The 17944-nt window shown below is 36.7% G+C and overlaps 1 protein-coding gene and 1 pseudogene across 5 annotated transcripts in view, besides 1 other annotated feature; both read left to right on the forward strand.

The window, feature by feature from the left end:
- Window positions 1-17631, forward strand: part of DNAJC10 (DnaJ heat shock protein family (Hsp40) member C10) — a 78208-nt gene extending 60577 nt beyond the window's left edge. For all 5 annotated transcript variants that reach the window (NR_073366.2, NR_073365.2, NR_073367.2 and 2 more), the window contains one exon: window positions 288-17631. Coding sequence is in view for 2 of the 5 variants with exons in the window: in NM_018981.4 (NP_061854.1) it covers window positions 288-299 (12 nt within the window). In the remaining 3 variants the exon portion in view is untranslated. The remainder of the gene's footprint in view (window positions 1-287) is intronic.
- On the forward strand, window positions 11240-11585 carry RPL31P15 (ribosomal protein L31 pseudogene 15; annotated as a pseudogene).
- Window positions 15725-15925: a silencer, noted in NCBI's record as "peak3967 fragment used in MPRA reporter construct". NCBI's record gives its function as "represses an SCP1 promoter by STARR-seq MPRAs in K562 erythroleukemia cells {active_cell/tissue: K562}" and the evidence as "EXISTENCE:reporter gene assay evidence [ECO:0000049][PMID:32103011]".
- Window positions 17632-17944: the final 313 nt, after the last annotated feature.

Below are 17944 nucleotides of genomic sequence, written 5' to 3' on the forward strand. Positions count from 1 at the left end.
CTAAAATATCATACCTGAAATTAAGTTAAAGAGAATACCCAATATGCTTGAAATTATGTAAACCTATATAGTTAGTAATATCTGCTGTGAGCAGGTAAGAACTAGGATATTCTTTTCTTTTTTATTGTTATATTTTGGCAAAGTATATTTCATGTCATGATCCATTAAATAAGAATATTGAGTATTTCTGAAAAAGTAAAATGTTGGTTTGTGGTATTTCACCTTATTTTTAACATTACCAACTCATACTTTCTCCTTTCTCTATCGCCTTTACATTATTATTATAGGATGAACTTTGATAATGTTGAAGATGAAGAAAAAGTTTAAAAGAAATTCTGACAGATGACATCAGAAGACACCTATTTAGAATGTTACATTTATGATGGGAATGAATGAACATTATCTTAGACTTGCAGTTGTACTGCCAGAATTATCTACAGCACTGGTGTAAAAGAAGGGTCTGCAAACTTTTTCTGTAAAGGGCCGGTTTATAAATATTTTAGACTTTGCAGGCTATAATATATGGTTCACACATGAGAACAAGAATAGAGTCATCATGTATTCTTTGTTATTTGCTTTTAACAACCTTTAAAAAATATTAAAACGATTCTTAGCTCAGAGCCATACAAAAGTAGGCTGGATTCAGTCCATGGACCATAGATTGCTGTCCCCCTCGACGGACTTATAATGTTTCAGGTGGCTGGCTTGAACATGAGTCTGCTGTGCTATCTACATAAATGTCTAAGTTGTATAAAGTCCACTTTCCCTTCACGTTTTTTGGCTGACCTGAAAAGAGGTAACTTAGTTTTTGGTCACTTGTTCTCCTAAAAATGCTATCCCTAACCATATATTTATATTTCGTTTTAAAAACACCCATGATGTGGCACAGTAAACAAACCCTGTTATGCTGTATTATTATGAGGAGATTCTTCATTGTTTTCTTTCCTTCTCAAAGGTTGAAAAAATGCTTTTAATTTTTCACAGCCGAGAAACAGTGCAGCAGTATATGTGCACACAGTAAGTACACAAATTTGAGCAACAGTAAGTGCACAAATTCTGTAGTTTGCCGTATCATCCAGGAAAACCTGAGGGAAAAAAATTATAGCAATTAACTGGGCATTGTAGAGTATCCTAAATATGTTATCAAGTATTTAGAGTTCTATATTTTAAAGATATATGTGTTCATGTATTTTCTGAAATTGCTTTCATAGAAATTTTCCCACTGATAGTTGATTTTTGAGGCATCTAATATTTACATATTTGCCTTCTGAACTTTGTTTTGACCTGTATCCTTTATTTACATTGGGTTTTTCTTTCGTAGTTTTGGTTTTTCACTCCTGTCCAGTCTATTTATTATTCAAATAGGAAAAATTACTTTACAGGTTGTTTTACTGTAGCTTATAATGATACTGTAGTTATTCCAGTTACTAGTTTACTGTCAGAGGGCTGCCTTTTTCAGATAAATATTGACATAATAACTGAAGTTATTTTTATAAGAAAATCAAGTATATAAATCTAGGAAAGGGATCTTCTAGTTTCTGTGTTGTTTAGACTCAAAGAATCACAAATTTGTCAGTAACATGTAGTTGTTTAGTTATAATTCAGAGTGTACAGAATGGTAAAAATTCCAATCAGTCAAAAGAGGTCAATGAATTAAAAGGCTTGCAACTTTTTCAAAAACCTGTTAGAATATGCTTTATTGTGTTTTGAGGAGTTTTCCTTTTTTTCTTTTCAATATCACTTTATCCTGCTCACCAGTATTTCCTCATAAGGGTTATTATAGCCATAATTAATGTTAAAATAGACTTTGTTCTTCATATTCTCCCATCTTTTTCGCTACTATATACTCTGTCTGGATTCTGCTGTATGCCTGTTGGCATATATGGAACAGTCACCACTTGTCACACTTAACACCAGCTTTTTGAATTATGATCAGTAATGGCAAGAGCCTTTCATTCTCGAATGTTTAAAGCCTAGGAGTTCTACAAAATTGGCTTCTTTCTACAAGAATCCCAAAATGGAATGCCTAAAGAAGTCTTACTTGGGTAAATACTTACTAAAATATACTGGTTATGTGCATATCACCACACTGGACACTGAGGAGTGTTCAAAAGGAATCTAAGACATGGTCCCCATCTTCCAACTGTCTGTAATTCACTGTTTTGTCATTGAGCTCATAAGGTACTTACATTACTACCTATAAATGTTTCCTGTACTTGTTAGTTGTTGAGAAACATTTTAGGCAGTAAATAAAATAGTAAATATTATGTGTCCTATAATTTGACCTAAGCTGTGTGCCTTTGGAATCAGCTCTAAGCCAGGGCCCCCTGGGAGTCATGTTAAGAAACACGTATCATAAAGTGACATACATCAAGGTTATCTTATATAGTCATAACAGTATTATTGGGTCTTTCAAAAACAGCTGGCAGATTGAGCTTTTAATGGCTATATTGATACAGTAGATAGAGCACCTCTAAGGAGTACCAGGTATAATGTGCCATTTCTCTCAGCAACACCATTTTTGTGTGCAGCTGACCCTCTAACATGGTATCAATTCTAGCTGACCAAAGCACATTCTATCAGGCAGCCAGGCTTGGAAATTAGGTCCATTTAAAGTATGTGGCTTACAGTCAGGTATGGTGGTGTGCGCCTATTGTCCCATCTACTTGAGAGGCTGAGGCAGGAGGGATTGCTTGGGCTCAGGATTTTGAATCCAGCCTGGGCAACATAGCAAGACCCCATCTCTAATAAATAAATTATGTTTTGGGCATTAATGATGTTTGTCTATTCTGATTTCTCAAATTTTATTTAGGTCTTTCATAGCTTTTTTATTTAAAGGTATATGATTAAGATAAAGGAAAAGTAAAATGAAATGTTTATGTAATTTTATATTCTCAAAATTTTCTTTAAATTTGCTCTGTTTTCTGACAGTGCTCAAAGTGGGAATTTTTTTAGAAGTACGGTTATCAAAAAAACACATTTCCTATGGGACACACATTTCAAAGATGTTTAGTACGATAAAATTTTTAGTAAAAGGGTAGCACTTTTAAGTCATTTGAATAGAATATTTGTGTAATATTTAGTCTAGTGTTAGTCCTTAAATCTGCCAACAAAACCAGATAGATGTCTTAAAGTAGGCACATTTATTCCATTGTGACTGTTAAGAAATAATAAAAGATTAAATTAACAAAATGCATTTTAAATTTTTATGATACCTATAGAAAATTGATAATGAAGATGAAAAGTAAATAACCTTTCTGATAATATTCTACTTTACACATATACTGAAAACTTACTTACATATACCCAAATTCTTCTAGTGAAGAAGTTTGTAATATGGTTTGAGTATTTGTCCCCTCCAAATCTCATGTTGAAATATGATCCCCAGTGTTGGATATGGGGCCTGGTGGGAGGTGTTTGGGTGATGGGGGCTGATCCCTCATAAATGGCTTTGTGCCTTCCCCAGTGGTAATGAGTTCCTGCTGTGTTTATTCCTGCAAGAGCTGGTTGTTAAAAGGAACTTGGCACCACCACCTCCTCTCTTTCTCGCTCCTTCTCTGTGTGACATGCCTTCTCCCCCCGTGCCTTCTGCCATGAGTAAAAGCTCCCTGAGACCTCACCAGAAGCTGAGCAGATGCTGGTGCCATGTTTTTACAGCCTGCAGAACTGCAAGTCAAATAAACGTTTTCTTTATAAGGTAACCAGTCCCAGGTATTCCTTCATTGCAATGCAAAACAGACTAATACAGTTTCTTTTCAGTAAGAATTACAAAATTTAGGCCAATGACCAAGCTGAGTATAAATTACTAATCATACACAAAAATGTGTTTCACTGGCTTGAGTCATTTTTCTGTTTAACACTGAATTTACACTTAGATTCTTGTACTGTCACTGAGTCCCCTTGTAAACAGCTAGGTATATTTTGTGAATGGAAACTAGCCAAAAATACAGCCAAAGTCTCAACGCCAAACTGGTCTACATCAGTATGGACTCCAGAAATGCATCTTTCAACCACTTGATTGCATTAAGTAGTCATTTGAGTGCATCACCTAGTGGCCTTTGGTCCTGAAAGTTAGCAATCATCCCCAAAAAGGTCTGTGTTAATAACTGATAGACAATCTTCATTAAGCAACTGCTGTTTTTTTTTTTTAATACTTCAAGTTCTGCAATACATGTGCAGAACATGCAGGTTTGTTACATAGGTATACATGTGCCATGGTGGTTTGCTGCACCCATCAACCTGTCATCTACATTAGCTATTTCTTCTAATGTTGTCCTTCCCCTTGCCCCCTACCCCGCCGACAGGCCCCATTGTTGATGTTCCCCTCCCTGTGTCCATATGTTCTCATTGTTCAACTCCCACTTACGAGTGACAACATGTGGTGTTTGGTTTTCTGTTCCTGTTAGTTTGCTGAGAATAATGGTTTCCGGCTTCATCCCTGTCCCTGCAAAGGACATGAACGCATCCTTTTTTATGGCTGCATAGTATTCCATGGTGTGTTTGTGCCCGTTTCTTTATCCAGTCTAACATTGATGGGCATTTTGGTTGGTTCCAAGTGTTTCCTATTGTGAATAGTGCTCCAATAAACATACGTGTGCATGTGTCTTTATAGTAAAATTATTTATAATCCTTTAGGTATATACCCAGTAACGGGATTGCTGGGTCAAATGGTATTTCTATTTCTAGATCCTTGAGGAATCGCCACACTGTCTTCCACAATGGTTGAACAAATTTACACTCCCACTAACAGTGTAAAAGCATTCCTATTTCTCCACATCCTCTCCAGCATCTGTTGTTTCCTCACTTTTTAATGATCGCCATTCTAACTGATGTGACATGGTATCTCATTGTGTTTTTGATTTGCATTTCTCTAATGACCACTGATGATGAGCTTTTTTTCATATCTTTGTTGGCCACCTAAATGTCTTCTTTTGAGAAGTGTCTGTTCATATCCTTTGCCCACTTTTAATGGGATTTTTTTCTTGTAAATTTAAGTTCCTTGTAGATTCTGGATATTAGCCCTTTGTCAGATGGATAGATTGCAAAAAGTTTCTCCCATTCTGTAGGTTGCCTGTTCACTCTGATCATAGTTTCTTTTGCCATGCAGAAGCTCTTTAATTAGATCCCATTTATCTGTTTTGGCTTTTATTGCCATTGCTTTTGGTGTTCTAGTCATGAAGTCTTTGCCCATGCCTATGTCCTGAATGGTGTTGCCTAGGTTTTCTTCTAGGTTTTTTATGGTTTCAGACCTTACATTTAAGTCTTTAATCTATCAACTTAATTTTTATATAAGGTGTAAGGAAGGGGTCCCAGTTTCAGTTTTCTACATGTGGCTAGCCTGTTTTCCCAACATCATTTATTAAATAGGGAATCCTTTCCCCATTGCTTGTTTTTGTCAGGTTTGTCAAAGATCAGATGGTTGTAGAAGTGTGGCGTTATTTCTGAGGGCTGTGTTCTGTTCCATTGGTCTATAGCTCTGTTTTGGTACCAGTACCATGCTGTTTTGGTTACTGAGCCTTGTAGTATAGTTCGTTCTTTTTGCTTAGGATTGCCTTGGCTATATGGGCTCTTTTTTTTTTGGTTCCATATGAAATTTAAAGTAGTTTTTTCCAATTCTGTGAAGAAAGTCAATGGTAGCTTGATGGGAATAGCATTGAATCTATAAATTACTTTGGGCAGTATGACTATTTCACAATATTAATTCTTCCTATCCATGAGCATGGAATGCTTTTTCCATTTGTTTCTGTCCTCTCTCATTTCCTTGAGCAGTGGTTTGTAGTTCTTGAAGAGGTCCTTCACGTCCCTTGTAAGTTGTATTCCTAGGTATTTAATTCTCTTTGTAGCAATTGTGAATGGGAGTTCACTCACGATTTGGCTCTCTGTTTGTCAATTATTGGTGTATAGGAATGCTTGTGATTTTTGCACATTAATTTTGTATCCTGAGACTTTGCTGAAGTTGCTTATCAGCTTAAGGAGTTTTTGGGCTGAGATGATGGGGTTTTCTAAATATACAATTATGTCATCTGCAAACAGAGATAATTTGACTTCCTCTCTTCCTGTTTGAATACGCTTTCTTTCTCTTGCCTGATTGTCCTGGCCAGAACTTCCAGTACATAGGAGTGGTGAGAGAGGGCATCCTTGTCTTGTGCCGGTTTTCAAAGGGAATGCTTGCAGCTTTTGCCCATTCAGTATGATATTGGCTGTGGTTTTGTCATAAATAGCTCTTATTATTTTGAGATATGTTCCATCATATCTAGTTTTTTGAGTGTTTTTAGCATGAAAGGGTGTTAATTTTATCGAAGGCCTTTTCTGCATCTATTGAGATAATCATGTTTTTGTCATAACTGCTATTTCAAATGTTTGGAGGAAGTAAAATGTCTTTAAAAGAATAAGTGTTGATTTTTGGAAAATATGAAATTGGAAACTTAGAAAACTTGAATTCTAAGTGGCTATTTATATTACCAAGCGGTAAAACATTAGCTAACTAAAACATGGTTCTGAAGCCAGTTAACTAGCAAAAAGTCCCACCTATGCATTGAAATATCTTTCTCAAGTCATTAGATAAAGTATATGGCGTTAAGGCAAAAAATACATATACACACACAAAAAAAATATTTCAGCAGCCACTGCCAACTGAAAGTAATAAAATGAAACAATTTGTTGGCTTTAATGTATTTAGGAAAAATCATTTATTTACAAAACATCTTCCCTTTCTTATCATGAAAATTATGAAGATGAGGTAAAGTCTGTTCCATTTTTCCTCTATTTTTGAGAAATCTTAGATTTATCTTTACCAGTCTGTAACCCAGCTTTCTTGTTTTATATTTTAAATATACTTTCTATTTTGTGACAGGAGTGAAAAAATGTTTAATGATTTTAAACATGTTTATATATATTTTTCAGACTTGGAACAGCAGTATCTCATGTTTTACTATAAAAACTTGGGTATATTACTTGAAGATCAACTATATTGTTATTTTTAGTATGTTAGCAATTCATCTGTCAATAATCACCAAAGAACTCAAGAATGAATAACATGATCTATCAAAAGGCCTATAATCTCAATCTTCATGTTAAGACTTTGGAAAGTTAATTTGTATTAATTAACTAATATAAATTAATCCTATCAAGTTAATTTGTAATAAATTCAAGATGCAAAAAGAAAACCTATTTCACTACCGAAATTAAATAAACTTTAAAATTCATTTTGTTGGCTGGGTGCAGTAGCTCACGCCCATAATCCCAGCACTTTGGGAGGCCAAGTGGAAGGATCACTTAAGGCCAGGAGTTCAAGACCAGCCTAGCCAACATAGTGAAACCCCATCTCTACTAAAAATACAAAAACTAGCTGGGCATGGAGGTGTGTGCCTGTAATCATCTACCCTGGAGGCTGAGACAGGAGAATTGCATGAACCCGGAGGCAAAGGTTGCAGTGAGCAGAGATCACACCACTGCCCTCCAGCCTGGGTGACGGAGTAAGACCCTGTCTAAAAAAAAACAAAACAACAAAAAAAATCATTTTGTTGGTATTTTATATAAACTTAAGAAACCTCCCCACACAAACACACACAGCCATATTGTCATCTCTGAAGACAGCAGCCACATGTGTCTTATTCCCTGCAGTGTTGGCAGAACCTAGCACATTGTTGACCCGTAGAAGCACAGTGTGTATTTCAATTGACAAACAGCCAGAAGTATTATACTGTTGACTGTGTTTAAAACTAATTTGCCAGAGCTCTACTGTGATAAGAATTTCTGACTAGAAATTATAAATTCATTGTTTTATGCCTTAAAAATTATAAATAATGATAAGTTTAATTTGCAGCCCTTATAGCTTAGAGGCATTGTAGTTGATATTATAGTAACCCTTTTAGATGTTAGTAACTTTTATTGTAAAATTTAAGGTAGCTCTACCTGCTAAAGTAGCACCTATTCTTTTGAAAGGAACTTTCTCAAAGGATTTTTAGGGCTTCATAATTTCTTGTTGCTCTGTGTAAATCCCTCTGATAGGCTTCCCTGAAGGATTTTAAGCAGAAATAACATCAGGTACCAGTAGATGGCAGTGAAAAATAAGCAGACACATTTTTCTGATAAAATGCCATTTCTACCTCAGTACTTGATAAGAATCACACAGTCTAGCTGGCCTTTGTGTTTTCACTAAAAATATCCTGAATTATCAGTCAGTTATGTTTGACTATGAGAAATTGCAGAAAAGTTAAAAGTATTTCGCATCCAAAAGTTTGTAATCTAGTGTAATAAATAGGACAGATACTCAAAGTGTATGAATGGTATGACAATAAATTTAGAAAATCATACAGGCACACACACTGCTATAGACATGTAAAGATACATACATGTATTGGAGCTCAGCAGATTCCCATTCATGAAGAATGGTGCCTGTGTAACAGTATAAATGGATCACTTCTAATAAATAAAACATAAAATTGGACTAATAGCTTAATTTTTTTTTTTAATTCAAAAATCTCAGGGTTTTCTGGGGCTTTTAGTACTCCTTTGTGAAATAAGACACATAGTCTTCAGGTAAAAAGAAAGAGCTCTTGGTCACAGAAATGGGTGTACTGAATTCTCGCCCTGTAGTCAAGTACTTACTATGAGTTTGGAAAAATTGCTTACTTCATATCTGTATCCTAATTATCCTAATTAACTCGTTTGTTAAGTGGAAAAAATATTTCAGTAGGTAGTCATATAAATAAGATGAGGTAATGTGTTTAGAAAAACAAATCAATGTGCAGGCAAGAATCGGGAATGTGGGAAATTTTGTAGGACAAATGGTATGATTTCTTTAATGAAAAAGACAGAGAAAGGTATCGTATAGCTTAAAAGGAAAAAGAAAAAGAGGCTTTTCAGTCATGAGCCAAATGCAGTATGTGGGCTATATTTGCATCTTGATTTGAACAGACTATTGTATACATTTATATATACATAGATCTATAGAGACAGTAGGATATATTTCATATATATATGAAACAGTTGGGGAAATCAGAATATTTGAATTTGATATTAACTAAGAATTGTTTGCAGGGGATGTTGTTGCATATTCTAATGACTTTTTTTAATAATGAAAATGTTTGGCATTTGCTTTAAAATAATCCAGTAACCAGGATCTGAGAGAAACCAAAAAAAAGTGGGGAGATAATAATCCAGGGACTTTGGGTAGTTGTTAAATGGATGGCTGTATCATAAGTATTGAAGCTGATAAGGGATAGATATGGGTTGATTATATATTTGTTTTGCTGGAAAATGTTCCATGATACAGTTTTAATAACAGTTTTAATTTCAGAAACGCAAAATATTGTTTTTACAACTAAGATAACATTGAAATTTATACAGAACCCCAAATGACAAGTGTATAATCAACTGCCAGGAAATCAGTTTACCTGTTAGAGGTAGAAAAGTTACAGGATAAAAATGGAATTGGTTGGCACTAAGTAGGACCACTTTCGAAGAGAATGGGTAGAATTCATTTTCTTTTCATTACTTCCTTTCAGCGTGGAGCCTGAGCATCATTTCACCATTTTGAGCCTCAAGCTCTCAATATACTGGAAAATTGTAATCCTGTTCCCTTCACTGAGGTCATAATACTGAATTCTGAAATGGAAATAATTGACTAGAGATTGTCTAGTCAAACTAGACTGATGAGGTCTCACCATTTTCTTCAAGGAAGATCAACTGAACCTGCCTGAAGGCACAGGGTACACCATCTTCCTAAGGTGTGACCTCCTGTTCCCAAAGGAATAGACCTAGGTGACCAACCAGCAGCACCTAGCTTTTGCCAGCTACGCAGCTTTGAATAGCCTTCCACCCTTGTGTCCTTCAAACCCCATTCTTGCCAAAGCCAAGTTCTCTCCCTCCCTCTCAACAGATTTCTCAGCACACATCAGATTTCACACCGATCTATGAAAAACTATTTTTAGAGATTATTACTATGGTCCGAATGTTTATATCCCCTCCTGCTCTCCCTAAAATTATGTTGAAATCCTAACCCCCAAGGTAATGGTATTAGGAATGTGAGGCCTTTGGGAAGGGTTTAAGTCATGAGGGCAGAGACCTCCTTTTTGAGATTGGTACACTTATAAAAGAGACCCCAGTATCTTGCTCGTCCCTTCTGCCATGGGAGAACACGGTGAGAGCGAGCCATCTGTAAACCAACAAACAAGGCCCTCACCAGGCACTCAATCTGCCAGCACTTTGATAGTGGACTTCCCAGCCTCCAGAACTATGAGAAATAAATGTGTTTTTTTAAGCCAGCCAGTTCATTTTGTTATAGCAGCCTGGACAGACAATATATTGAAAAAAATCAGTTTTGCAGTTCCACTGGTCAGGTGAATGCCAGAGGAGCTGGTCCACAGTCATAGGCGTTAAACTTCTTTTGGAAACTATACTGGCTTGACAGTCTCCCCATACTGATTCAGACTCCAGCAAGGTGCACATCACCCGCTAGTCATTGTGGCTTCTGCTGCTTTAAGGTTCTGGAATTATGGAAGAAAATAGGGTGGGCCTACTGTCTCTTCCCACTGTTTACCTGGTGTTTTGATTCTGAATAGTTTATAAGCTCTGCTATTCAAGAAGTTTATACAAACCCGTAATGTACTACCAAACCGTTCATTCATTATGACAAAACTGCCTACCAAAGCCACAGACTTTAAGTCTTTGCAGGATTACCACTGAAAGTTCACATGCTTGGTTAGCAGTCTTAACCTCTAACCAACTGAACAAATCGAAGACATTTAATTTAGTCAAAATAGGCATGGGAATGAAAGTGAGACTTAGAGGCAAAGAATGAGGCCAGGTGCGGTGGCTCACACCTGTAACTCCAGCACTTTGGAAGGCCCAGGCAGAAGGATTCCTGCAGACCAGGATTTCAAGACCAGCCTGGACAACCTGGTGAAACCTCCTCTCTACAAGAAAATTCAAAAATTAGCCAGGCGTGGTAGGGTATGCCTGTAGTCCCAGCTACTTGGGAGGCTGAGGTGGGAGGACTGCTTGAGCCCAGGAGGTCCAGGCTGCAGTGAGCCGTGATCACACCACTGCACTCCAGACTGGGAGGCAGAGGAAGACCCCGTCTCAAAAAACAAAAGGTAAAGAATGATTTTAGGAATTAGGTGTCTCTAAATTGAAGTAATGCTCACATAGAAAAATTAAGGCATATTATTTTACTGTACTCTCAGAAAGATGTTTAACAAATACTTGAAGAGCCACTATTTAAGATAAATGAGAGTCCTTTCCAATTTGAGCCTCGCAGAGTGGTTCCTACAGAGAAGGGTGGCAAGAAGGGCTGTTCTGCCATCAATGAGGTGGTGACCCGAGAATATGCCATCAGCGTCCACAAGCCCATCCATGGAGTGGGATTCAAGAAGCATACCCCTCAGAGCACTCAAAGAGATCCGGAAGTGTGCCACAAAGGAAATGCGCGTTGATACCAGCCTCTACAAAGCTGTCGGGGCCAGGCGAATAAAGGATGTCCCATGTCTTATCCATAAGCAGTAGTCCAGAAAACATAGCGAGGATGAAAATTCACCAAACGAGCTCTTATACTTTGGTTACCTATGTACCTGTTACCACTTGCAGAAATCAACAGACAAGGTGGATGAGAACTGTAAATCATCAAATAAGTTATAAAACCACCAAAAAATAGGAGAAAATGGGAGTAAAAACAAAATGTATAAAAAGTATTAAAATTTGAAAAATATCTTGGAAATAAGGATGGACAGTTTAAGTACTTATCTCAAAAGGAAAAATGTTAGCAATTGGTTGTAGCAATACGTCCGTCTGTAAGTGATGGTCATATTTGTGTTCTTTTGTCCCAGAGAACAAAAGGAAGTGAGCTTATCCCACAGCACAAGTAACGTCTATTTATCTCAGAGGAAATCCAGGGAAGTTCCTACTTGGGAAAACGGAAAGGTAGACTATTCAGAAGTTTTCTAAAATGGACTTCAAGCTCTATGACTTTATGATCACTTAGTATGTCTACGGATTTTTTGGGGAAGAGAGATTTCACGTTAAAGGTCATTTTGTGTCTTCTTTAAAACTCTTGATTCCTTTTAGAGTTTTTTAAATTGTGATAAAGTACATGTAACAAAATTTATTAATCATTTTAAAGTAGCATACAGTTCAGTAGTGTTAAGTAATTTCACATTGTTCAACCCATCTCCGTGACTTTATCTTGCAAAACTGAAATTTTATATCCATAAAGCAAAACCTTTTTATTTACCAATGCTGCTAGACCCTGACAACCACCACCCTACTTTCTATCAATATGACTACCATAGATATTTAATGTAAGTGAAATCATACACCATTTATCTTTTTGTGATTCCTTATTTTACTTAGCGTAAGTCCTCGAGACTCACCCATGTTGTAGCATGTGTCATAATTTTCTTGTTTTGAGACGGAGTCTTACTCTGTCCCCCTGGCTGGAGTGCAGTGGTGTGATCTCAGCTCACTGCAACCTCCACCTCCCAGGTTCAAGCGATTCTCCTGCCTCACCCTCCCAAGTAGCTGGGACTGCAGGCATGTGCCACCACGCTGGCTAATTTTTGTATGTTTAACGGAGACAAGGTTTTAGTGTGTTGGCCAGGCTGGTCTCGAACTCTTGACCTCAGGTGATCCGCCTGCCTTGGTCTCCCAAAGTGCTGGGATTACAGGCGTGAGCCACCGCACCCAGCCAATTTTCTTCCTTTTTAAGGCTGAATAATATTCAATTATATATACATTCTACATTTTGTTATTCGTCCGTTGATAGGCTGCCTTCACCCTTTGGCCATTGCAAATAATGCTGCTATAAACATGGGTGTACAAATATCAGAAACCCTGCTTTCAGTTCTTTCAGCTATATACCTAGAAGTGTAAGTCTATATCATAGTAATTCTATTTTTAATATGGGGGGACCTCCATACTGTTTTTCATAGCAGCTGCACCATTTTACATTCCCACCAATAGTGCACAAGAGTTCTGATTTTTCCACATCCTCACCAACACTCATTTTTTTTAAATAGTAGGTATCCCAATGAGTGTGCGTTCATATCCCATTGGAGTTTTGATTTGTACTTTTAGAGTCTTTAAATTATTACTTTTTCCATATCAAAGTACTTTGTGGGAAGTTGGTTATTTTACATTCTCATACCATGCTTTGTATTACTTTCCCATTTGGATGCCCTTTTCATCCTTCACCTCATCCTGTAAACCCAAAATCTAACTTAAATCCCAAATCCAACTTCCACTGTAAAGCCTTTGCTGACTTCTTTACTTCACATTGATTTCTGAATTTCTAAAAGTTCCTCATTGTCTACCACAAAACTAAGTATTTGTTTATAAGAAAAAGCTTTATTTAGTCCTATATTATTCTCTGATTATTCCATATGTTATCTTCCAAACTAGATTGTTAGGTCTTCAAGAGCAGAAGAAATTTATTTTATACTTATAAACTTCAAGATTTGCTGAAGTACTTTGGGTGCTAAATGCTTCTAGCTTATTCGTTTAGTTTACATGACTTTCTGCATGTGAAACTTGAGAAAACTGCAAATCTAATACCTTGGTCTTACAGAACTGAACAATACTTAAATGTGTTTAAACCTGCTATATAAAATGTCAGATGTAAAAGCGAATATCTAATGAAGCACCTTTTCCCTTTTCTAAAATTCAATAGTAAGGGCCAGGCACAGTGGCTCACACCTGAAATCCCAGCGCTTTGGGAGGCCGAGGCGGGTGGATCCCTTGAGGTTAAGAGTTCAAGACCAGCCTGGCCAACATGGTGAAACGCCGTCTCTACTAAAAATACAAAAAAAAATGGCCAGGCGTGGTGGTGCACGCCTGTAATCCCAGCTACTTGGGAGTCTGAGACAGGAAAATCGCTTGAACCCGGGAGGCAGAGGTTACAGTGAGCTGAGGTCACGTCACTGTACTCCAGCCTGGGCAACAAGAGTGAAACTCTATCTCAAAAAAAAAAAAAAAAATTACAATAGTAATAATTATGCCTTCTAACACTAAAATCAAATAACCTTACTTATCAGTTACATTGCCTACTAAGCTGACTTATTTTCTGACTTTTCCTTTGCTTTATTCTCTTATTTCTTCCAAGTAACCATATTCTCTTTTACCCTCCTGTTCAACTGTCTATGCTCCTTCTCTCTTTGTTCACTATTTTGATATTTAAATGTTATGACTTATTTTCAAGTAAATATTTTTTTAATTTCTTCATTTGGGATAAAATATTCACTACATAAATTTAGTGGATAAATACCCCCACAGAGATCGACCCTGCATGAAATGTGTTCCCTCAGAAGTAGGGCAATTCATTCATTATGAGATCAAGCCATAAAATTTAAATCCAAGCAGTAATTCTCCAATTAAAGTAACTCTAGAGCTTAGTTTTCAGTCCTCCTGAATCATAACTAGTTGGCAACAAAAACTAGTATGCCTTGGTGTGAATAAACCTTAACATAGAAACTCACCCAGCCTCAAAAGTTAAAAATTAAGAGAGATATGTATTCAGGTGGCCATTTATACACAATATTTTTGAATACTATTCTGGCCAAATTAGTATAAAATGGGTTACTCTAAAATGAAATTTTAAAAGTATATAAACATCTTAAACTTTAAAACTTCAGCCCAGCTAGAAGTCAACGTGTGTTTCTGAAACTATGCTGGGGAAAGTAGCTCTGTCCATAATGATTATATAGTTGTTAGCAAAATATTGGTCAAAACTTTTTCAGTTTAATGAGTTTCAAGATATTCTTCAAACTGGCCTCTGTGAACTCTTTCTTGACAAGTGAAACCTGGCTCCAACAATGACTACTTTATTCTACCTCTCATTTATTTTCTGTTTAATAAATCCAGTATTTGGGCATACAAACTGTATACAACATTTTATAACACTCTAATGTGGATAAGACACCTCAAAAACAGGAGTTTAGTCATTTCAGTCACATGTTTCTAATACATGATAAGATTTGCAGTTATCGTTTAATTAATTGCAATATGGAAATAGATACTAAAAAATCTAAATTGCATCTTACATTTCAACAATGGATGTTTAAAGCGTTTAAAAGTTATGTTTTGCATTTTACAACATATTGAAGATACACATTTTAAATTTAACTCTAAACAATGCAATAATCTAGAGAATCAGAGAATTGGATCCTGAAACACCTTATAAGTTCAGTCCTGTTGATTAGTATGTTTCCCTGTCCTAGAGTGCATGAACTTTCAAAGCCAGGACACAATCTTGTTCACTTTTCATGCCATCATCTTGACACTCAATACATGTTCAAAGAGTAAATTAAAGAAAAAAGAGATGCTCAAGTCAATTTATAAGTAATCCTCACAAATGCTTGCATACCATCAGTGAACAATTATTTTTTTATCTCCATGCTATAATCTTGCACAAGTTTCATTAGAATTAAATGCACTATCTGAAGTCTATGTTTATTAAATGAGGATTACAGTAGTTGGTTATCTTTGTGAGGGGTTTTGAGGGTTGTGGAACAGGATAACATTTTGAGGTACAAAAAATAATGAAGAGGATATATTCCAATTTCTTTCCTTCCCCAAGGCTTTTCATTACAGCTGTTATAAACCCTGGTAGAATTGATTGGTTTCCTTTTCAGCTTCCTGTTTTGTCCCTCAATGTTCACAAAAGTCCCATCTGATAAATGTATTGTTTAACCTCTCATTGTTTGAAAGAACACCTCTTTGCTCCCCACAGATTACAGACCTATTGGCTTAAGCAGTCCATCTAAATGCATGCCAGTTTCTTTCTTGATAAATTAGAGGCCTATAACCTCAAACCAGTTTATCTGCAAGAGAAGTGTGTGAAGTTAGACTCAATTCTTCCGCTAATGGAACATCGTAATCCTCCTTGTCATCTTTCCTTTGGCCTTCCTGAATAGAAATCATTTATGAGGAAGTTACATGAGCTCAACATGAGCCCCATGTCACTCAGCAAACATTTATTTGAGTACTTACAATGTGCTAGGCTTTGTTCTATGCATTTAAGATAGTGTATTAAATGTATTGACCTCATGAAGATTCTATTCTCGCAGTGGGGAGATAGACAATAAACAATTAATATAAGCAAATGTTAAGTATGTTAGAAGTATGTTAGAAGATGTGCTGTGAAATAAAGAAAAAGGTAGACCAGGGTATGAGGGATTAGGAGTGTGGGGGCAGCAGCAGGAGAGTTTCGGTATTAAATAGGGTGGACAGGGCAGGTCTCTTGGAGAAGATGCCATTGAAGGAGGTGGAAAAAATGTAGCCACTAAATGGGCTGAGGGTAGAGCATATGAACAGAGAGAAAGGCCAGAGGACAGGCTCCAAGGCATGCTTGGCAGGTTCAAGGAACAGCAGGGAGGCTCATGTGGCTGGAATGGAGTGAGCTAGCAGGAGAGAAGATGAAGTTAGAGGGAGAGAGAAAGTGGGGAGCCAGATCATAGAGGGCTTTGCAGGTCACTTGTAAGGACTTTAGCTTTCTAACTTTTGTAAGGACTTCAACTTCTACTCACAGTGAAATTGTGAAATTCCAGAACCAAAAAGAAGATCCTGGTAAAAGAGAAACTTTCAGCAAAATATATTTAACATTTTATTTGAGTGAAGAACAATTCATCCATCAGGCAGCACTGAGAACCAGAAGACATTCAGAGAGCTCTGCTTTGCGAGGTATGCAGTGAACATTCATAGACAGAAAACAAAAATTAAGTACAGAAATAGCTTGATTGGTTACAGATAGGCATTTGCCTTATTTGGACATGGTCTGCTCCAAATAAGGCAAGTTGGCAGCATGCAATTGGCTGTGACCTATCTGTTACAAAAATATATCTATATAATCCTAAATTAGGTTTCAGTTTATTTAAGTACTAAATTAGGTTGCAATTTATTACATGGGAACTCAAAGTCTGGAGACAGCCTCAGGCCAAGGTCCTCTTGCTTATTTAATTTAGCAATCCTAAAATTTTCCAGAGAGGAAACACATCACACACACACACACACACACACACACACACACACACACACACACTACCTACAAAAAAATAACAATTAGAAAGTAATTGGAGCTTGAAGTATTCTAGAAGACTTTGGAGCAAAGCCTTCCAAATTCTGAGAGGAAAATATTTTTAACCTAGGATTCTATTCATACCTACCCAGACTAACAAGTAGCAGGCAGATGATAAATATATTTTTAGGTGGTTAGGTGATGAAACACCTCCTCCAAATGAAGGCATAAACAACAATGCATGGGGATCCAAGAAACAGTGACTCCAACCCAAGAGAGCAGTGAACAAATCCACAGGACAGCAGCTAAGTAGGAGGCCTAAACATCACCTGGGGCAGATGGGGCGAGAGAGCAGAGAGCTTGGGAAAGAAGTCTCTGAGGAGAAAGAATGAGGCAATAAGTCAGATGCGTATTTGCGGACCTCAGAAAAATTTGAGTACATAGGAAACAATAGATGAAGGATAGAAATAATCCATTCAGATTCTCTCCTTTGCATGATGACCACATTAAACTTACAGAGTAAGAAATGTCATTCTAGATTTGATTCTACTGTTTGTCTTTGCAGTGAGCTATGTTTTTTTATAACATGTAGAAGTGAAATAAACTTGTCACAAAAATGCAAATTGTGTCACCAATTTTCAGCTTAACAACATAAAAATAATTATATACACTGACCCAGGTTAAGGACGGGTAGAAGTACGAATGTCCTTATCTTCCAGAGTGAAGTGAGGCTGTAGTCAGGCATTGCAAACTCACATAGTTAAGGGTGTTTTGTAGGTAAAGTACATGACGGTAGTTAGTGCATGCACTATTTTAAAAAGGCAGTAGTTTCTCTGCTCCAAAAGAGTATTGTCATGAAGAAAGAGACCCAGATGTTCCAGTTTACCCAGAATTTACCCCAATCCGGGTTTTTATGTAAAATATTTCAAATGTTCA

The sequence above is a fragment of the Homo sapiens genome, chromosome 2 (assembly GCF_000001405.40).
Source record: "Homo sapiens chromosome 2, GRCh38.p14 Primary Assembly".
Taxonomy (NCBI): Eukaryota; Metazoa; Chordata; class Mammalia; order Primates; family Hominidae; genus Homo; species Homo sapiens.